General features: G+C 41.7%; 1 protein-coding gene and 1 pseudogene across 19 annotated transcripts in view, besides 1 other annotated feature; both read right to left on the bottom strand.

Moving 5' to 3' along the window:
• Positions 1-23,380, bottom strand: part of KANK1 (KN motif and ankyrin repeat domains 1) — a 275,809-nt gene that overhangs the window by 248,296 nt on the left and 4,133 nt on the right. The window lies entirely within an intron of this gene.
• On the bottom strand, positions 19,412-20,028 carry RPL12P25 (ribosomal protein L12 pseudogene 25; annotated as a pseudogene).
• Positions 19,422-19,921: an enhancer, noted in NCBI's record as "NANOG-H3K4me1 hESC enhancer chr9:477887-478386 (GRCh37/hg19 assembly coordinates)". NCBI's record gives its function as "activates a minimal SCP1, AML or CMV promoter by ChIP-STARR-seq in naive H9 embryonic stem cells {active_cell/tissue: H9 hESC(naive)}" and the evidence as "EXISTENCE:reporter gene assay evidence [ECO:0000049][PMID:30033119]".

Genomic DNA, 23,380 nt, shown 5'->3' with positions numbered 1-23,380 from the left:
AATCACGGCTCACTGCACCCTTGACCTCCCGGGCTCAACTGATCCTCCTACCTCCGCTTCCCAAGTAGCTGGGACCACAGGCACACGCCACCACGCCTGGCTAATTTTTTGTATTTTTTGTCAAGACAGGTTTTGCCATGTTTCCCAGGCTGATCTCAAACTCCTGAGCTCAAGCAATCTGCCCACCTCAGCCTTCCAATTTATACTCTCCTTAATTTCATTTAAAAAAATGGTTATATACTACAGTTATAATTAAGGGTTTTTTGAAAGTTTTTGTCCTTCTCAAATATTTTACAGAGCTGTGAGAGAAGAATTCTTGAACATTAAATGGAAGTCATGGTGGCAAGAGTGTGAGTGTGAGTGTGTGTGTGTGTGTGAAGAGTCACATGCATACCTGAGCACCAATGAGTCTCCCTCAGAGAAAAGGTGAACTGGGGAGGGCGTGCACAGTGGGACAGCTGGATTTGCTACCTGCAGATCCTTTCCAACGCCAACCTTGGAGGCTTGAGATTTACTAAGGAAAGCTGTGTGTTCCCTCACCCTTGCCCATGGTCATACTGCCCTTAAGGAGTCTTCTTTTCCTTTTTTTCTTTTTTTTGAGACTAAATGTTGAAGGAAAAGACCTAATTTATCACAACTTGCATATGATAGCCCCACACTTCTGGTTCCTGGAAACAACTGTTTGAAAGGAAAGGAAAGGACACATTGGTTCATTTGCTTTAGTTATTTTAAAAATCAAGTTACAATTCTGTTTACATTAAGCTGGAACCCTGTATGAATACATTTTCTCCGTGGCTGAAGGACATAATTCTAGTTCAGGAAATTGAGCTAAGAGTAATCTTCATTCATAATTATAATTATTATATCATTGTTACTATTATAAAATATTTATAGAGCATTCAGAATGTGTATGTCATTCTACTAGGATCCTAAGTAGAGGGATTATGTGTACAAACCTGTCCCTGCAGATCCACTTTATTTAGAACATTTATTTATTTATTTACCAAATATTTATTGAAGGCCTGCTGTGCTGAAAGTGCTGGGTTAGGCTTCATAAAGGACAAAAATAAGAATAATCCCAAGAAACTATCTGTCCTTTAAAGGGAGATGATACATGTGCAAAAACAACTTGTAATGCTATTAGACTTTGGCTTGAGAGACATATAAAATGTTGTTATAACTAAAACAAGAATATAATTTTATTTCTTTCATTTATTTATTTATGAATTTATTTATGTATTTATTTATTTTGAGATGGAGTCTTGCTCTGTTGTCCAGGCTGGAGTGCAGTGGCACGATCTCAGCTCACTGCAACGTCCACCTCTCAAGTTCAAGCAATTCTTCCACCTCAGCCTCCCGAGTAGCTGGCACATACAGGCATATGTGCCACCATGCCCAGCTAATTTTTGTATTTTTAGTAGGGATGGGATTTGACCCTGTTGGCCAGGCTGGTCTGGAACTCCTGGCCTCAAGTGATCCGCTCGCCTCGGCCTCCTAGAGTACTGGGATTACATGCGTGAGTCATTGCACTTGGCCAAGAATGTAGTTTTAATAATCAATAATTCTTATTGAGAGCTTACTTCCATGCTTGGCACTGTAGTTAAGTGTGTTCTCTGAACCAATTTACTTCTCCTGTAAGGTAGTCATGATTATTATCTACAGTTTGCAGACAAGAAGAATGGGGCTCACAGAGGTTCAAATAGCTGCAAGAAGCCACAGTGCCAAGTGGTAGAGGCAGAATTTGAACCCAGGTTGCTGGAGGCCAGAGCCAGAAGTCCACCCTGACCCCTTCCAGCTGGGACAGTGTATGCATTGTGGTGTGTGTGTGTGTGTGTGTGTTTAATTATGCTAGTGATGATAACTTTACACTGAGTCACTGTCACTGAAGCTTTTCTTCCTCAGCAAGGAAACCCTGACCTGGTGACCTTTTGATCTTAACCTTATAGCACCATTCTCTAACCCAGCAGGTTTCAAACAACTGAGCTGTCATTTGAGCCTCAGAGCCTTTTCATCAGACAAACTTTAATGGGAGATAAAAATGAAGGTTTTTCTGAACGAAGCTGAATGGGGCTGGGGTGGGGTGGAGGGAGTCTTCCAAGGGAGGCAAGGCATTGCGGGGAGGAAAAGAGACTGCGCCACATGATTATCACAGCTGAAGCCAAATACACTGATGTCAATAAAACCTCATGACCTGATGAAGTTTTAGAGTTAGTTATATTCAATGCTCCTTGATATATGAAGTGCAGCTGCCTTCAATCATGATTTTTTTTTTTAACGTTGAAGATAGCATGCTTACCTAGTGGTCCTCAACACTTTGTCAGGAAGGTGGGTAAAGTCAAAAGTTGAGCACCAAAACCAGCCAATCTGAAGAAACTAAGTTGGAGGCACGATGGCTCTCTGCTCATAGGATCTGGTTACGTAAGAGTCTTTTATTGAAGGCTGTATTTGATTGAGACCTGGTATCTCTAACATAGTCCCGAATTTCAACAAAGAACGGTTAAGTCAACTTTTTTCTTCTAGCCATGATTGTAGAGTCTGACAAAGGACAGCCAGAGGAGGGGAGGAGAATGCTGAAAGAGAAGGAGGCAGAAACTCATAGTCTGGGGACAATGACTTTAGTGCAGGAGGACCTTCTCCGAAATTCTGCTTTGATACTTGGAGCCAAGGCAATTACTTACAGGATTTTTCCAAAGCTTTATTGTCAGCTGTCATTCCTGTATTTCTCTAGGAAACACACAGAATTCTAGAAAGTTATTATCTAAACAAGTAAGTTCACCTAGTTACTTTGCACTTGCTGTCTTAGGTTAGCCTTGTATTTGCTCACTTATTTAACAAATGCATGTGTTCAATATTTGTTCACGGTCTATGTACTTTAAGAGGACTTGCCCCTTCTGTGTTATCTGTGTTTTATGTATCTAAGAGAGCTGATCTATTTAACTTTCACTACACTGCCCAGCTAATTTGCACTATTTTTATTGTGCCAGTTATTATTTTGAAAAACTGGAATTTAAATTCCAACAAAAGGGACTGTTTGAGGTGGTGTGACATACAGTAGCGGGGCAGGATGCTATACAGCCAGTATAGATCCACTTCTGAGAAGGCTTCTTGGCTCTTCTAAGGAGACTCAGCAGCTCACATGGTTGTTGGCAAAAGGCTTGTCACGTGTATTGCTCCATAGTGCTGCCCATGACATGGCAGCTGGTTTCCCCCAGAGCAAGTGGGGAGAGAGAGAAAGTTAGAATGACCAAGATGGTAGCACAATGCCTTTTATAATCTAATCTCAGAAGTGATATACCATTGCTTCTGCTATATTCTATCATCACACAGACCAAACCAGGTACAAAAGGGACTATTGGAGGTAGCGTGGTTACACAGTAACAGGGGAGAATTCTATACCGCCAGTATAAATGCTAAGAATCTTGTACTCTATTGGTATACATGAAATAATTCTAAGAGGAAAAATCAGATATGAAGTAGGATGTATACACTGATAACAATTATATAAAAAATGAATGCTTGTAAACTACCAAGGATCAGTGAAGATCTTTAAAGATCAAAAATGATAGAATTGGGCTTGAGCCCAATAAATTCTTTATATTCAAAAGTTTATGAAAACTTAAAATGTATTGCTGGGTGCGGTGGCTCATGCCTGTAATCCCAGCACTTTGGGAGGTCAAGGCAGGCGGATCACGAGGTCAGGAGTTCCAGACCAGCCTGGCTAACATAGTGAAACCCCATCTCTACTAAAAATACAAAAATTAGTGGGGCATGGCGGTGTGCACCTGTAATCCCAGCTACTCAGGAGGCTGAGGCAGGAGAATCGCTTGAACCCGGGAGGTGTAAGTTGTGGTGAGCCGAGATCGCACCATTGCACTCCAGCCTGGGCAACAAAGCAAGACTCCATCTCAAAAGAAAAAAAAATGTATGTAAACTATTAGTATTTATTGCTACATAAATTGCCGGCCAGGCGCGGTGGCTCATGCCTGTAATCCCAGCATTTTGGGAGGCTGAGGTGGGCAGATCACCTGAGGTCAGGAGTTCAAGACCAGCCTGGCCGACATGGTGAAACCCTGTCTCTACTAAAATACAAAAATTAGCCAGGCGTGGTGGTGTGTAGCTGTAATCCCAGCTACATGGGAGGCTGAGGCAGGAGAATTGCTTGAGCCTGGGAGGTAGAGGTTGCAGTGAGCCGAGATCACCCCACTGCACTCCAGACAGAGCTAGACTCCATCTCCAAAAAAAAAAAAAAAAAAGCAAATTACCCCAAAACTAGCAGCATGAGACTATAAATGTTTATCATTTCACATAGTTCCTGAGAACCATCCAGTGAGCTGCTTCACTGGATGGTTCTGGCTCACAGTCTCTGATAAGGTTGCAATCAGAATGTCACTGGGGGCTTCTGTCATTTGAAACCTTGACCAGGGCTGGTGGATCCACTTCTGAGAAGGCTTCTTCACTCTTCTAAGGAGGCTCAGCAACTCACATGGTTGCTGGCAAAAGGTTTGTCACGTGAACTGTCCCATGACATGGCAGCTGGTTTTCTCCAGACCAAGTGGGGATGGAGAGAAAGACAAAAAGAATGACCAAGATGGTGGCTGCAATGTCTTTTATAACCGAATCTCAGAAGTGACATACCATCACTTCTGCCATATTCTATGGTCGCACAAACCAACCCTGGTACAATATGGGAAGGGACTGTACAAGGATGTGAATATTCAGAGACAGGGAGGCCGGCTACCAGGCCACAGCTGGTTTTCTTTTCTTTTTTTTTTTTTTTTTGAGACGGAGTTTTGTTCTTGTTGACCGCCCAGGCTGGAGTGCAATGGCACGATCTCAGCTCACCGCAACCTCTGCCTCCTGAGTTCAAGTGATTCTCCTGCCTCAGCCTCCCGAGTAGCTGGGATTACAGGTAAGGGTCACCACGCCCGGCTAATTTTGTATTTTTAGTAGAGACAGGATTTCTCCATGTTGGTCAGGCTGGTCTCGAATTCCCGACCTCAGGTGATCCACCCGCCTCGGCCTCCCAAAGTGCTGGGATTATAGGCATATGACACCGCACCTGGCCACAACTATTAATAACAATAAGATATTTTTTCTCAAAAGCATGTTTTGGTTATTAAATATATATTTCAAATATACATTTAAATGCATATTTCAATATATTTAATCTTAAACTTTTCAAATAATAATAAATAATGATATTTACTTAGTACTTTCTATATGCCAATCACTATGTTAAGCATGTGATGTGAGACTGTCTCTCACAGACAGCCTCACAGTTGTCCAGGCAACCCTTAACAGCTCTAAAGGATGCATTTATTAGTTGCCTCATTTTACAGAAAGGAAACCTGAAGCACAGAGAGGTTTAAGTAACCTGCCCAAGGACACACATCTAGTAAGTAAATCAGCATATAAACCCAGAGCTATCCACGTAAGTACCGACAGCATGGCTAAGCTATACTGATTCTCTCTAGTCAGTTTTGTGAAATAAATCTCTAACTATCGATGCTTTGCAAGTTAAGTACTATCATTCTATTTAAGCAGTTAAGGATTTCCCTACAGTCACAGAGTAAATAAACTAAGACTCAAAACTGGAAGTTAGGTTTGTGGAGTTCTGTCACAATTATGATGACAATAATGACTCTGTCTTTTCTCCTACTACTCTCCTCTTCCCTGTCTCCTGTCCAGCCACGTTGCCTCCTGGCTGTTCCTGGAACACTCCAGGTATGTTCCTTGCATTAGTCTGTTTTCACACTGTTGATAAAGACATACCCAAGATTGGGTAATTTACAAAAGAAAGAAGTTCAATAGACTTACAGTTCCATGTAGCTGTGGAGGCCTCAAAATCATGGCGGAAGGCAAGGAGAAGTAACTCACGTCTTACTTGGATGGCACCAGGCAAAGAGAGGGCTTGTGTAGGGAAACTCCCATTTTGAAAACCATCAGATCTTGTGAGACTTAATCACTATCACAAGAACAGCATGGGAAAGACCCACTCCCGTGATTTGATTACCTCCCACCGGGTTCCTTCCACGAAATGTGGGAATTGTAGGAGTTATAATTCAAGATGAGATTTGGGTGGGGACACAGCCAAACCATATCACTCCTGCTTTAGGTGATTTGTGTTTGACGTTTCCCTTTTCTCGCCCCAAATCAGCATGCTCCTTCTTTCTCTCCTGTCCACAAATGTCACCTCCCCAGAGAGGCCCACTATCACCATGCTATTTAAAATTGCACTCCAGGCCGGGCACAGTGGCTCACACCTGTAATCCCAGCACTTTGGGGGGCCGAGGAGGGTGGATCACGAGGTCAAGACATTGAGAGCATCCTGGGCAACATGGTGAAATCCCATCTCTACTAAAAAATACAAAAATTAGCTGGGCGTGGTGATGCACACCTGTAGTCCCAGCTACTCAGGAGGCTGAGGCAGGAGAATTGCTTGAACCCGGGAGGCGGAGGTTGCAGTGAGCTGAGATCATGCCACTGCACACCAGCCTGGTGACAGAGCAAGACTCTGTCTAAAAAAAAAAAAGAAAATGCACTCCAGGAGTGGGCACGGTGGTTTACATGTGTAATTCCAGCACTTTGGGAGGCCGAGGTAGGAGGATTACTTGAGCCCAAGAGCTCAAGACCAGCCTGGAAAACATGGCAAGAGCACATCTCTACAAAATGTTTAAAAATTAGATGGGGCATGGTAACACATGCCTGTGGTCCTAGGTGCTTGGGAGACTGAGGCAGGAGGATCCCTTGAACCCAAGAGTTTGAGGCTGCAGTGAGCCATGGTTGTACCACTGCACGCCAGCCTAGGCAACAGAATGAGACCCTGTCTCAAAAAAAAAAAAAAAAAAAGCCACTTTAGCCCTTCACATAGTCTCATCTTTGTTCTCCTCATCTTTTTTCGTAGCACTTATTGCCATCTATATTCTAATTAATTCATTTATTATGTTTATATTTGTTTTCCTGTGTCAGAATATAAGCTCCACAAGAGCAAGAATTTTGTTCTGTTTACTCATAGTCCCTGGCACTTACCACACTGTCTGGTATATAATATGTGCTCAACAATAAATATGTGTTGAATGAGCAATGAAGTAAACATAGGGAGCTTAACGTATTTTTGCCAATATCAGAGTTGCTCAGTTGAAACTTTGGCAATTTATTTTCCAGCCATCTCTTTTTAAATTTGATAATGAAATTATCTAAAGATTTTGTCCAAATAGATCTTTCTGGAGATAATTTTTTAAATGAACATTTTATGTTTACTGCTATGTTTGCCTATTGTTATTATTATTATTATTAGTTTGAGACAAGGTCTTGCTCTGTTCTCAGGCTGGAGTGCAGTAGCACAATCATGGCTCACTGCAGCTTCAACCTCCTGGGCTTAAGCAATTCTTCCACCTCAGCTCCCAGCTAGCTGGGACAACAGGTGTGCACCACTGTGCCTGGCTTTTTTTTCTTTTTAATTTTAGTAGGGATGAGGTATCACTTTGTTGCCCAGGATGGTCTTGAACTCCTGAGCTCAAGCAATCCTCCCACCTTTTTTGGGCTCCCAAAGTACTGGGATTATAGGTGTGAACTGCTGTGCCTGACTGTCTATTTGTTTAACCAGTGGAGATGTATTTAAAATGTCTAGAAACAACTAAAACTCTAGAAGAAGAAGATGCCTTTAACTTAGAAGTCAGAAAAACCTGGTCAGGATTGAAGTATTTCCGCTGGCCAAGTAATAGCCTATTTCCCCAGAGAGTGACCCTATAAAACCTGAACAAATATTTATCTTTAACGTCAAAAAAGTCAGTTAAGCAAATGACATTTCATAATGAATGAAATAAAAGTACTTCCTTCCTTTATTTATTCTGGATGATCTGTACTTAGTACGGTTTTGTTCCCCCAGACATAGAGGTATTGTTTAATACAAGGTCAGCATTCAATCTAACTTTGCCAAGCTCTACCTAGAACTGTTAACTATAATCTTGGTTATTTCAAGTGCCAATTTACGAGTAAACAGTATTGCCAATAACAGTCTCATTGATACTATTATTTTTCTTCAAACCCCGTGGAGCAGATAAAAAATAGTAATAATAGCTAAGCTTTATTAAATGCCTGCTAAGTGCTGGGCATCTTACCTCTATTATCTCTAATACTTTCACCAACTCTACAGGGTAGACACTGTAGTTGTGGAGCCCAGTGAAGTTAAGCAATCTGCTAAGATCAGGGCAGAGACTCAAACCAAGACTATCTCTGTCTGATTTTCAAATCTGGGCCAGTTTCAAGGTGCCACTCTCTGGCCCAAACTATCAGTCTAAGCAGAAGTCTTATCTGGTTATGTTTATTTAAGTTGCAGCAACCAAATACTGCATGACCTATACTTACACTAAAAAAGTATTCATTGTTTATCTGAAATTCAAATTTGGCTGGATGCTCTGCATTTTTGTTTGCTAAATGTGGCAACTGCATGTGAAGGGACCTTGGAGATTGTTGAGTTTAGTGGCTCTTGGTGGTTATTAATTAGCCAGGAGCACTTGGCAAAACGATCAGAAAGGCCTTTCCAAAATACACATGTAGGCTCTACCCCAAACTGCACGAGGATTTCAGAGTGGAACCAGGCCTATGAATTTTGAAAAAGTTTATTCATTCATAAAATATATGTGTATTTATTGAGTAGCTTCCCCACACCAAGTACTTTTCCAGGCCTTGGAAACACAGCAAGAAACAAAACAAAAATTCTACCTTTGGGGATTTTCCAGGTGATTCCAAAACTCCTCCTAGTTAAGAAACAATGGATCAAGCATCCTCATTTTACAGATCGAGGAAACTGAGGCCCAGCATGGTGCCATGATGACTCCAGATCACTGAGGTACTAGGTGAAGTCTCCTAACTTCTATTCCAGTACTTTTTTTTTAACTATCTCTCCACTGACCATAATTTTTCAACTTTCCCCATTATGCCCCTAATATTCCATTATCCCTAAAATTACAATATTTGGTTTGTAAAATACAGACCCAAAAGCTATGCTATTCTTAGAATAATAATAAACAACACTGCTTGAGATTGTACATAACAGGCAGCAGTAAGAGTGAATCCTGACCCCAAATCAAAGTGACAGTCATTATTGACACTTGACTCTTACAAGACAGTCACAGTTTACACTGTCTGTATGCAGCATTTTTGATTACATTGACTGATTCATTCCCCCAGTAACCCTGTGAATGAGACAGGAAGGATGTTATCAGAACTGCTCCTTTGCAGTTGAGGTAATTGAGATTAGTTGATGTGTTCGAGTTCAAACAACTCATAAACGGCAGAAACAAGGTTCAAATCCAGATTTTGTCTCCAAGTTAGAATAAGACAATCTGAGGATGAATGAAAATTTTGGCTTGTTTCTTGTCTTCTTTTCCAGCATGAATGAGCAACAAAGTGTTGAACACAAAAGTGTAAGAAACTTGCTGTTACTTGTTAGACTCTAATATCCCTGCTTGCTCCAAAGCCTTTCCTTCTCCAGAAGCTCCATCCTCCTCTCCTCTTTGAGCCACACATTCCCACCACACTGGATATTGTGAGGCTAGACCACTGATTGCAGCAAAAACCTCAGCCTCAATCAAAATGCATACACATTACCCAAGAACCATACCCCAACATGCTCCCGTATTTGTAGGGATTCATGGAGTAGATTAACCAGTTAATACTGAGTTCATGTGGAGTTCGTAGCCATGTTGACCATCTCCTCATAGAATGAATATGGACCAAAGAACAAGAAACCTAGAAATGAGAGCTTGGGAAGGTGGGGCCTATGTTGAACAGGGAAGGTGTTTACTTCTTGTCAAATTTTCACATATCCCGAAGGCAGACATAGGCTTTCCTAGGGAGTGAAGCAGAAATTCTACAAGAATTTTAAATAGAAAACTGGAAAGGGCCGCTGAAGCTGTGTCTTAGACTCTTAGGGGTACCAGGCTGCCTTCTGCAATAAGAGATCACTGACAGAGGATTTGGGAAGCCGAACTCTAACCCACCTCCATCATTTGAGGTCTGTGCAGACATGCCTAGAATAATTTGCCCAGGTGCCACCATTAAGTACTCCAATCCACACTTCATGCTGCTGTTTTTCTAGTTATCTACCCCTCCCAATAGGGCAGCTTCTCAATTACCTCTAGTGCCCTATTGATGACTCATTGATTTTAACAATGGCATTAGAACTTAGAACAAAGTTCTGTTGCCCCAGGAGCCAAGTCAATCCCAAGTAACTTGTACAGACTCCCTATACTAAACAAATATATCTGAGGTACTGATACCCAACTTACGATGAGGTTATGACATCCCAATGAACCCACTGTAAATGGAAAACATTGTGAGTTGAAAATGCACTTACATCTAACCTACCAAACATCATAGCTTAGCCTAGCCTACCTTAAATCGCTCAGAACATTTACCTTAGCCTACAGGTGGGCAGAATCATCATCACAAACCTATTTTATAATAAAGTTTGAATTTCTCATGTAATTTATTGAATTCTGTACTGAAAGTGAAAAACAGAATGGTTATGGGGTACTTGCAGTGTGGTTTCTACTGAACACGTATGGCTTTCACACCATCATAAATTTGAAAAACCATAAGCCAAACCATTGTAAGTTGGGAACTGTCTGTATTTGCAGGAGCAGCCTTCTAAGCTGTTCTCCGTGCCTGCAGCTCCCCTCCTCAACCATCTTGTATATATCCACTGGCTGAATTTCCTAAAATTCAGCATATCTTTCTTCTACATAAAAATAACTTCCAGGTCTTACTTTCTTGTCAGTTGGCTGATATAAAATGTAAAATTTCATATTAAATTACATTAAATATCATTACCATATCATATTAAATATCAATAAAGCAGAGCAGTCATCTAGTTTTTTACTGCAAGAAGACATAAAAATTAGACTTTTGCCATGATTAAACTTTACTTTTACTGTGTTTAGAAGAGCAGAACAAAGTTGTAAGAAGCACAGAAGTTTATGACTACTTGAAATCAGATAAAAATTGTTTATATAATTGAAGAGTCTTAAAATACAGAAAATATTTGAGGTTTTTGCTTTTTATTTTTTTATAATGACGGAAATATAAGTTCAGAAAAAGGTAGTATCTCTAGCTGAAAGACCACTGGAACACTGATTAAAAGCTTATGTTAGATTAATTTTTATTTATAAAAGGCAGTACAGTGCACAGATTAAGAGTGTGGCCTCTGTAGCCAGTGTGCCTGCATCCAAATCCTGCCTCTGCTACTCACAGGCTATATAACCTTGGAGAAGTTATGTGACCTCTACAGACTTCAGTTTCCTCATCTGTAAAATGAGAATAATAATAATACCTACCCCATAAGGCAGTTGTGAAGATTAAATGAGTTAATATTTATACAGTACGTACTCAGCATAGGTCTGACACATAGTAAACATTTTGTAAGAGGTAATGGTGATGATGATCATGACGACGATGATGATTACTTCAAGAGGAAAGACAGGATCAAATTCAGGGTTACAAAATCAAATTCAGAGTTACACGGACTTCTCCAGTTTCTCCTATGTATCCTGGTTAAGCAATTGACTTTTGCAGGGCTGAATCCTCATTTGTAAAATGGCATCTATGATCATATGTAAAATAATCCTTTGATTACAGCAAATCTGGAGATTTGCTTTCCTGTCTGATATTCAATTAATAAAGGTTCCAGTTCTAATCTTTAGAGTCTGGTCAAAAATTTTTGGAGTCAGGCGAGATTCATCCCATTGCAAGAGATGGAAAACACAAGTCAAACTGGCTAAAGACAACGGGAAACTTCTCAGCTCATGGAACTGAAGAAGTCTAGGGGAAGCTCTGACTTCAGGTTCAGCTTGATCAGAGCCTCAACCAGGGACCTCCGGACTCAGCTTCTCTACATCTCTCTCTCTCTTTTTCTTTTCTTTTTTTTTTTTTTTTTGAGACAATTCTCACTCTGTCACCCAGGCTGGAGTGTAGTGACACGATCTTGGCTCACTGCAGCCTCCGCCTCCCAGGTTCAAGCGATTCTCCTGCCTCAGCCTCCCGAGTAGCTGGGATTACAGGCATGCGCCACCACATCCAGCTAATTTGTATTTTTAGTAGAGATGAGGTTCCACCATGTTGGCCGGGCTGGTCTCCAACTCCTGACCTGAAGTGATCTGCCCGCCTCGGCCTCTCAAAGTGTTGGGATTACAGGCGTGAACCACTGTGCCCAGCCTATCTCTTTACTAAGCAGTTTTTGCTTTATTCTCAGGTTCTATGTAGATCCAGGCTCTTGTAATCATTATTGCAAACAGACCCAGACAAAAGGAACAGGTGAATTTTCCTCAATAACTCTGCTAAAGTTTCCTTGTACCTACAAATGGCACAAGAGATCTTTTTGTGATTATAGAAATATTCAAAAACCAGATTTTTGTGGTTACTTTGAAAATTTACTAAAAATCATTGAATTGTATACTTTAAATGGGTGAATTTTATGGTATGTAAATTATACCTTAACAAAGCCCTTAAAAACAGTTTCCTTGTATCACTCTGACTCTGAGGGGTTCACATGCCCATTTCTCAATGGGTCACTATCTATCACTGGATCAGAGGAATGTGATGCTCTGATTGGCCAGGCCTGAATACCACACCCACTCCCTGAAGACAGGGATAAAGTCAGTTTCATCCAAAGCACAGTGACTGACAGTGAGGGTGGAGGGTGGTTCCCCAGTTGAAAATCAGGTGAATGAATGCTGTTTCTTAAAGCCCAAGAACCAAAGTTGGTCTAGGACTAGTCCAGGCTTCCAGGGCCTCTCTGAACTCAAATCTGGGCCTGGATAGGCCAAAGCATTGACACATTTATGTCTTATGAGGCCTAACTTTTTTTTTTTGCATTCTCCATGGCAGATGTCAAAGCAAAGCAAAATGCAATGAAGGTGGGATGAATCCCATGCTGGATTCTTATTCTTGGAAACACTGAGAGTAACTATCCCCAGAGAAATCCAGAAAGTCCTTCTCTCTGCCTGGGTGCTGCCCAGTGCTCACTGGGGCCACTGCAGGCCACAGATGTGGGAGGTGTACCGTGTTCCCTCTCCATACCCCATTCAGCAAGCCACCAGACCTGTGATCCTTGAGAACAGACAAGGAACAAATTATCTACCTTTTTTCTTTTTGGTCACTTTATATCTTTTATCTTGCCTCTCCTTATCTCTCTCAAACTTGTTTGTCAATGCTTTTGACTGTGGCTTCAAAGGAGGGATGAGGTAATGTATTAGAATGAACCATGTCATTTAAATAATTTACCAGGGCAAGGGGAGAAACAATGCTTACAGTGCTTGAGGCTCTTTTAACTTTGTTGAAGAATGGCAAAATCACAACAAAAGCAGACACATCTGGAGTGCTTCCCAGAGCAGAGGCACTGTGCTGAGCACTCTACATCTCTTGTTCTTTTAATCTTCACAACATCCCTGAGAAGTGGATAATTTTTTCCGTGTTTTACATGTGAGCAATGGTTCAGAGAAGTTAGGTGAGGCCACACAGCTAGCCTGAAACAGAGATGGGCCCTCTGTAAGGTGGGAACTTTTAAACAAATAACTGCTTGTCTGCCTTTAACAAATCTGGCTGTCATCTGCAAGCCCCTTCATAGTCACCGACATATCCTTGAAACCCCCTGGCTTCCAATGGAAGGGGAAGTAGCTGCCCTCAGCTCACAAGTGCAGAAGCAGGGAGGAGCCACTGACCTGAATCTCTAAAGCTGAAGGTGTGAACTACTCGTGGTGCAAACTGGCACCCTACCTGCTGCATGTGGGGACAGACGGATTTGTTTGGCTAGCACTTTGTTGGTAGTAATTATTATTTTTAATGAACTTTAAGCCCTTTTATGGGGTATCTTCTCTTCAAATCATACCTGCTCGCTCTGTCTCCCTTTTTTTAAATAGCCCTGATAGCTTATCCCAGTTACTTCACATCTGTATGTCAGCTGTCTAGCTCTGAAAGGCCTTTGCATTTACATCTCTGAAAGAGCTAGCAGGTTGTCAAGAGTGCCTGTCCAGCCCTCTCCTCTACCCTGAGGTGTCAGAAAGTCTGAGTAGAAAGCCAGGAGAATACATTTTCTCATATAACCAATGGGTGTTTGCCTAAGAGACTATAAACTTCCATTTCATTATGGATCAATGAGGCTTTTAGGGATGGCACCAGGAACCTTACCATTTTTGCATTCCATTGTTTCCATCTAACTTAACCCTTGCATCAGTGCTATAAAGTACACAGTTCTGTAGTTCCCATTTTATAGATGAGAAAACTAAGACTCATAGGTGTGTCATAGCTGGCCTATGGTAACAGAAATCAGACCCCAAGCCCTCACTCCTAGCAACTATTCACTGCCTATGTTCTCTACACATTAGGATCATCTGGGAAGCTCCTCTAGCATTCCAATGTTTGATTCAAACCAAAACCAGTTAAATCTAAATCTCTGGGGATTGAAGCTAAGGCATCAGTGCTTTTTTATTAGTGCCCCCAGATGATTCAAATGTGGTGAGAATGCTGCATTACCATACTCCCCTCTAATCCACAGGGGGTATGTTCCAAGACCCCAGAGGATGCCCAAAACCATGGATTGTACTGAACCCTCTATATACTATGTTTTTTTTTCCTATACATACATATCTATGATAAAGTTTCACTTATAAATTTGGTACAATAAAGGATAACAACTTATAATATAATAAAACAATATTCTGACCTCATTACTCTTTGGGCCATTATTAAGTAAAATAAGGGTTACTTGGACGCAAGCACTGTGATGCTGCGACAGTTGACCTGATAACCAACAGATCTACTAAGTGATTAACAGGCAGGGAGCCTCTATAGTGTGAATACTCTGGACAAAAAGATGATTCACACCCCGGCAGGCAGAGCAGGATGGCTAAGATTTCATCATGCTACTCAGAACACGGACAACTTGAAATTTATGAATTATTTCTGGAATTTTCTGTTTCATATATTTGGACCTTGGATAAGGGAGGACTACTGCGTCTGAAGAGTCAGCGATACAAATTCATACATCAAATGCGTGTATTGTTTGGCAGATGGCAGCTGCTTACATCCAATGATAGGCCAGCAGGTGATTCTGTGCCATTGAGGGTGCATTTACACATCCATATGAATGGTACAATCACATGCAGTGATAACCGTCAACCACATGTGATTGTAGTCAGTTTTTGGAGACAGAAGACTTGGGTTTGAATCCATGCCCGTTAGTTGTATGACTTTGCATGTGTTATTTAACCCCTGAGCCTCAGTTTACCCATCTCGAGAGAGGGGAAAATATTGTGCCCCATTTTGGAGGTTGAGTTGGCAAGGGAGGGCATGCATGCCCTGGGCTCAGCACAGATTCTGGCACGTTGTAAGCCATCAATTGCTGCTAGCTATTTACTGATGGCACTTAGTACCCCAACAAAGGTGTACACCACATAATAAAGACAAATTCGAATCCGAAAATAGTTTGTGCCCCCTCACTTCTGACCATTAAGTGCTTAGGATTACACTCGTCACTTGAAAATTCAATTAATTTGCTTGGGTGATTCAGCATCAAGGGTGATTGTCCAAGAGGTAGCCCAATGACTGTGTTGACAAGTCTGCAAACAGGCGGTGAGGCTGGGATATGTACCAGGCGAATACAAGGGGAGCGCTAAGGGCTCTGACTGCAGGTGGTAGGGCCCAGCTGTGGGAACTGTGACCCTAAGAAACCTTTTAGTTCATAAGAAGGGAGAGGTCCAGAGGCTGAGGAGGAGGCTCAGAACAGAATAGGTGACAGGAAGCCAATTTTAGGATCTGAGGAAGAAGTTGAGAGGTTCAGAAGGATCCAAGCATGACCCTCCTCCTCGCCCCTGGGCTTCTTGTTTGTCCTATTACTATCTAACAACTCTATCCTCCTATACACTCTCCATTTAGCTGAATGTTCATCCTTTATTTTTTTTTTTTAGAGACAGGGTCTTGCTTTGTCACCCAGGCTGGAGTGCAGTGGTGTGATCATAGCTCACTGCAGCCTCAACCTCCTGGGCTCAAACGATGCTCCCGAGTAGAGATCGAGGTGTGAGCCACTATGTCAGACCTATTTGTTCTTTTAAGCCCCACTCAAGCCTTGCCTATTCTGTGGCTCTTTCTGAACCCATCTAGATCAAAGTTAGAAATGCTTCCTAATGAGCCGTCATGAGCTTTTTGCCCGCCGTTGTTGGCTGCCTTTGTATGGACATATCTTATTTTAAAGTAGTTTTGAGTTTTCTGAGGATGGAGACCACATTCAATACTTCTGTTCAACTCCACTTTCTCCTACCACAGAGGTTAATGTGTTTGGCTCTTATTAGATAAAAGTGCATTATTTTTATACACATCACAGAACTCAGCAGGCAAAGAAGGCTTAAGGATTTGCTAGTCCAGGAGCGGCAAATATCCTCTTGATCCATAGGCCACGTCCTTCCAAAGTGGTCTATTTGGCCAGACCAGTCTATTTTTGTTTTTGGGTTTTTTTTTGTTTTGTTTTGTTTTTAAATACAGATAGTCTCCAACTTACAATGGTTTGACTTATAATTACTCAACTTTATGATAGCGTGAAAGCCATACACATTCAGCAGAAACTATACTTCAAGTACCGTGTAATCATTCTGTTTTTCACTTCCAGTCCAGTATTCAATAAATTACATGAGATATTCTACACTTTATTATAAAACAGGCATTGTGTCAGATGATGTAGCCCAATTGTAGGCTCATGTAAGTGTTCTGAGCATGTGTAAGGTAGGCTAGGCTAGGCTGTGATGTTTGGTAGGTTAGGTGTACTAAATGCATTTTTTCACTTAGGTGGGTTTATTGGGACACAGTAGCCCCATGGTAAGCCAAGAAGCATCTGTACCAAATTTGAATGTCTTTAGGTGGGCTGTGCCTCTCCAGTCCTCTGCAGTCTGGTCCACTTTCTAATGCCTTACCATTTTACACAATTTATCTGCCCAACCCCTTAAGGAATTTGAGTGTCACCCCTAATCTGCAGATCTTCAGCTTTCCAAATGTGGAGATCTTCCCCACAACGTCTCTAATACACGGCTCCCCTGCCTATGCTTTCAGAGGCAGGGAGCTTAGGAGGAAGTATGTTCCACTGGTGGAAAGCTGACGAAAATAATTCTTTCTGGATGAAAATCATAACTTAGAGTCATCTACTGAAATTAACCTGCTACATACTAACTGCATTAAATCCTTTTGGTAACTTACTTTTTACTGCTAAATGCTTTCCCCATTCTTAAGTATTCCATCACAGGATGATATAAGCCTTTTTAGATATACTTTCTCATCTGTTATTTAGGCAGAGGACATGTCACTTAGAACCACATTTGACTTTGCTCTTCAACTATGGTCATCTGAAAATGACCTTCTTGGTAAACATTCCCCTTCATTCACATAGAATAAGGGCTGCACGTGTCCACCTAGCCTTTTGTACTCACATGTGAGATTTTCAGATATCCTGGAATAATCTTACACATCTGTCTAGCCCATCAGATTATGGGTGATTTGAGTCTGGCATGAACCAGCATCCCAGAAGGTTGCAATTTGAGTATATGATAGACCTAAGTAGATCTTATCTCATGTTTCCCCATTAAGCCTAGACATTTTCACAGCTTTATGCTGTACAGCAGTTAGCTTGTGCCTGAATGCACAGGAATGCAACTCCGGCAATTATTTACCAGATGGAACGTGTTTTTTGTGTTTCTGTTTTAAGGGAACTCCGTTAAAGTTTTTGATTCTAGTTTTGATGCAGTGGATTGTAAACCTGTTATAACCTGCTGAGAAGGGAAAAAACCCATATTTTTCTGTTTTCAGGAAAAATCATTTCCATATGAAAGGCCATCTGGAGAACTGGGCATATAATAAATCACTGTTCGCACCAATTATACTTACTGGGGGGGCTCAGTTATTTTCTTGCAAGTAGAGACAGGAGAATATTGGCTTCTGAAAACAATATTGCCATGAACTTCCTTGTGGGTGAGCCAAGGGTCAGGAAGATGCCAGGTGGGCATTCTGAGATGACAGAAGCTGCCCTGGTGTGGGAAATGGAACCCCATTTGCATGTTTCTCTTCTCCTTCAGCTGTAGTCCTCACAAAAATCAAATATATTCTTATCCTATGTGACTATTCTTACATATTTTTGAAAAGTTTTGTCCCTTGCAATTTGTATGGATCCACCAATCTGAATCAAGATGCTGGTTTTCAAATCAATGCCATTTAGCAGCTGAATCACCTGCAGTGAGTCACATCTAACTCCCTTAGTCCCTCCGTCCCCATTTGGAAAATGTGGCTAATGAAAATGACCTAACATGGCCAAATGCCTAATACATTTATGTGGAGATGTCTGTAGGAAGAATGAGCAGTGAAGAACTCTGGTGACTTCAAGCCCCCGTCCCCTGCATTTAGGCCCTCAGGGCTGCGTGGTTCTTGTAGGTCAATGAGCAACTCCAGTGTTCTTCCATTAAATACCCATTTTCTTCAGTTGAGTTGGAATTGGCTTTATGATACTTGCAATGACAAGAGTTTTGACTAATAGCTTATGCGTCTGTTAACATTGGTAACCAGGAAGAACACACAGCAGCATGGAAAAGGAATTTTGATGAATTTTACAAAGAGCACGATATAAAATTGTGACTGATATGCATTGCAGTTATTTGCAATAATCATGCCTATGCAAGACAAGTGAAAGAGAAGTATTTTAAAAATCTATGGGTGGCTGTAATCCCAGCTACTCAGGAGGCTGAACATGAGAATTGCTGAAACCCAGGAGGCGAAGGTTGCAGTGAGCCAAGATTGCACCACTGCGCCCCAGGCTGGACCACAAAGCGAAACTCTCAAAAAAAAAAAAAAAAAAGTAATGGATGTTTAGCGTGGTAGAGTTATGGATGATTTGTCTTCTTCATATAATGGGGTCAAAAACTTAGCAAACTACATTTGGTTGTGCAAAGTAAATGTGGCTTCACTTGTTTTCTGTAACTGATCAAATCTTACTCATTGGCTCCACATCCACATTCATCACTAACTGTATTTTAGACTCTTTGGATATGGAAGAAGTTTTGGTGTAAAGAGTTTGGTTTTGTTTTTAAAGGTAAGTGGCTATTGTCTGCCCTCCTTTCTAGATGGTTTCTTGGTATATTGGGGTGGCAGTGTTGTGAGAAAGTGAGCTTTAGGAGTGAGCAGGAGAAAGTGGGCTTTAGATTTGTATACACTGGTCCTTATGCTGTGATTAGATTTGGTATTGACATCTTTTAGCAATGTCTCTGGATACCTGGTTGACTTGTACTACTGACATCTGTGCATGGGGAAACTGGCTTTTTCAAGGAGGCACAAAGGCACTCATGCAGACCCTATGTCATAACCATGCTGTGTTTTTATTTTTAGTTGTCAAATGATCCTTTATTGAAATTTTTTCCTTCGTAGTTCATAGCTAGCTGGATATTTACTTGCACCACTGTTGATTTGATGTCATCTATGATGTCAGGAGGCTGGCGCCCATCAACATTGGAGCTCACAGACTGGGCAGTCTCCAAGATCTCTTTACGGGTCCCAGAGAGTTCTGTGACTAAGGATTGGTGCTGCATCTGTCATGCAATCTTGACAGTGTCATGAAAAATGGCATTTCCACTGTGCTTGATTGTTTTGCTTCTTTCTGTCTCTGGTTCCTTGAGGGCTTTGATGCTCACGGCAGAGGCAGAAAGTACCACCTCAGTCTGAGCCTGTCTGTTCTGAATGGTCAGTTTCATTGTAATCCTTTGACTCTTCTGGTGACCTGTGGCCTTGGGAATGTCATCACCAACTTATTTTGGAGACAGGTCCAGAGGGTTGATCTTAAGGGCTAGGGCAGACATGGTACCCAGTTTTCCACCAGGGCACCTGGCAGGTATATGACTGATCTCATTGGGGTTGAACTTGGGCAGCATGGCAGAGGTGGCTAGATGAACCCAGATGTAGTATGACTGAAGAAATGTGCACTTTGGCTTCCTCCAAGCCAAGAGGCCCATGCTGTTGGTTTTCCTTTCTGTGTTACATATTGGCATGGGCCACTTGGTGGGGGTCCCTTTTGCTGAGTTTTAAGTGAGGAGCAGAACACAGTCTTTTTCTTCTTTTGGGATTCCTTTCTTTCAATTTATCTACTACTTGTGATATCAGCCCTGAATGGAGAAGCCAAGATACATAAAACTCACTTTTCCCCTTTAATCTCTATCTTTTCTTCCCCTGACATTCCCTTGGTTTGGAAAGGAAAAACACCCCATCTTTTCTGTGCAGTAGGGACACCTCTTACATCAAAGGTCATTTCTCTCTACCAATAGCTTTAGAATTCAGGTTCATTGTTCTGACCCTTGGTATTTTAATGGAAGTGATAGGAATCTAGAAAATCCTTTTCTTTATCTCCAACCTCTGAATTTTAAAGACAGTTATTCTAGGAACTCAAATTTGGAAATCAAAAGCTAGATCTTTTTTTTTTTTTTTTCTGTTTGCATTCCTGCTGTAACAATCTCAAACCTCCCTGAGTCATAAGAATTACCTTAGGCTAACCAGGGGAAAAGTCATTCACAAAATATAAAAGAGAAAAATACATCTAAAATATATTATCCTTATTACATTCTTTCAGACTTTCCATAATGTCCGTTACTTTATCGCCTGTCACCCAAACTCCCTGTCATGCCCTGCTCAAATTGCCAACTGGGGTAATGAAAGTAACGATTGTTTATTGGCTCTTAGTATCAGACAAATGTGCTTTTAAACTTTACCATAAACTTGTAGATGTTCATATCCCCATTGAACAGATGAGAAGCGGGATCTTAGGAAAGGAGACTTGTGCAAAGTAGCAGAGCTAATTTCGGGGAGACACATAGTTTAGAAAACTCATTTGTGTCTTGTTTGCTTTTTCTCACTTTGGCTCAGAAGTCATTCATTCATTCAAATGCTGCAACTTTAAAACTTTAAAACACAGCTAGAAAAACATCCATTAAATAATATGGATGTTTAACACACTGCTCAATAAATGGCAACCAATATTATTTATTAATATTTCTACTGATGATCAGGAAGATAAATCTCTTAGTGTGCAGAGAACAGAGTCCATCATGGCCAAAATCTTGGTACAGTTTGATATTTCAACAGCTGGGCAGGAAAGACGGTAAAGTGCTTTGGGAAGACAGGAGATCCTGGGTGAGATGGAAGCAGGGGGTTTGGTTTCCCCTTTTCTTTTGGATGGGAATCCAGAACACCTGGGATTTTTTTTTTGTTTTTGAGATGGAGTCTTTTGTTCCATTGCCCAGGCTGGAGTGCAGTGGCGTGATCTCAGCCCACTGCAACCTCTGCCTCCCGGGTTCAAGCGATTCTCTTGCCTCAGCCTCGCGAGTAGCTGGGATTACAGGCATACCCCACCATGCTCGGCTAATGTTTGTATTTTTAGTAGAGACAGGGTTTCACTATGTTGACCAGGCTGGTCTTGAACTGCTGACCTCAGGTGATCCACCCGCCTCGGCCTCCCAAAGTGCTGGGATTACAGGCGTGAGCCACCACGCCCGGCCTAACACCTGGGATCTTGTTCATGTTTGGCTAATACTGTGGAGCAGGCATTTAAGGACCTTGTAGTTTAGTTTTCTAACTTTTTTTTTTTTTTTTGAGATGGAGTTTTGCTCTTGTTGCCCAGGCTGGAGTGCTGAAGCAGGTGGATCACAGTGAGGCCAGGAGTTCAAGACTAGCTTGGTCAATGTGGCGAAAACTTGTCTCTGTTAAAAATACAAAAATTAGCCGGGTGTGGTGGCAGGCACCTGTAATCCCAGCTACTCGGGAGGCTGAGGTAGGAGAATGGCTTGAACCCAGGAGGCAGAGGTTGCAGTGAGCTGAGATGGCGACGCTACACTCCAGCCTGGGCAACAGAGTGAGACTCTGTTTCAAAAATAAATAAATAAATAAATAATTTTAAAAAGGTGCTAGACTCTTAATCTCTTCAGATGGGAGCGCCTGGAAGAAAAATATCTAGCTATGTTAACAGAGATTCTTTACAGATGCAAATTTTCCCCTACAAAGGATGGCTTTGCAGGGCCATTTCAAAATATGCCAAAGAGACATGTTATGGGATAAAATATTTTGATTTTGTCATGTAATATTATGCCAGAGTCAGACTAAAAAGTCACAATATATAGGGTTAAATAAAACCCATCTGATGAGAATTTTTGGTTTGTAGGGCATAACTCCCCAGACCCCCTAGATAGGAATTTGGAAGATAAGAAAAGATCAGAGCTTAGTCCTCAAGCAGGAGTGAAAATTTATTAAAAAGCTTCAGAGCAGGAATGAAAGGAAGTAGAGTATATTTGGAAGAGGGCCGAGTGGGCACCTTGTGAGATCAAGTGCACAGTTTGACCTTTGACTTGCGGTCTTACAGGTTGGCATACTTTCGGGGTCTTGGGTTACTTCTCCCAATTCTTCCCTTGGGGTGGGCTGTCCATATGTGCAGTGGCCTGCTAGCATTTGGGAGGGGAGCATGCACAGTGTATTTGCTGGAATGGTACAGATGCTTTCTTGAGGCTTTCTTCCCTTACCAGCGTAGCATTCCTACAGGAAGGTCATTTACCAATTAAACTCCGCCACTTTGCCTCTTAGTGCACATGCTTGAGCCCACCTGCCCAATTCCTGAGATCTTATTGTGAAGCTGCTGATTGTCACTTTCAGGTTTTTCCTATCTATTTGGAGACTGCCTTTCCCTGGTGCTGGCTGCAACCAGTTATTATTTGAGAGAGACGGTGTAACAACCATGTGACCATCACCTGATGGTCACCTGACATTCCTGGTCAGGGTGGGGGGCCCTCTCCTGCACTGCACATGTCTGCCTATCTACTGTAACAAGTACACCATCAGATGATTGCTAAGGTTTCTCCCAGTGTGAGGAGTCCTGAGAAAATGGTATTCTCAGAGATACTGAAGTGTCCTCAGGGAAAGTCTAGATGGCCTAGACAGCTTGTGGTGCTCCATTGTCACCCTGCCACCAATGTCTCCCTGCCTTTTCTCATCCTCTGATCTCCCCCTGCTCAACCCCATTTCAGGGGAGGAGGGAAGAAATATAGAAAAGATAATGAGGGAAAGTGGCCATGGGTAGTGAGAGGATGATGAAGTGGTAGATAATGGGAGAGTGGAGGGAAGGCATAGAAATTACACACATATACTTTTTTAGAGAAACGACACAGGGAAAAGATAGGGGGCATCAAAGAAAGAACATTTGCCTTCTTTTGTTCATCAAATAAAATAATCGCTGACATTTATTGAGCCCTTGTCCTAGGCCTGGCACCTTGTTCAGTTTTTCACATGCATCATTTCATTTAGCCCTCATACATCTCATTTT

This window comes from Homo sapiens, chromosome 9, assembly GCF_000001405.40.
Source record: "Homo sapiens chromosome 9, GRCh38.p14 Primary Assembly".
In the NCBI taxonomy this organism is placed as follows: Eukaryota; Metazoa; Chordata; class Mammalia; order Primates; family Hominidae; genus Homo; species Homo sapiens.
This window is presented reverse-complemented; position numbering and strand designations above follow the sequence as displayed.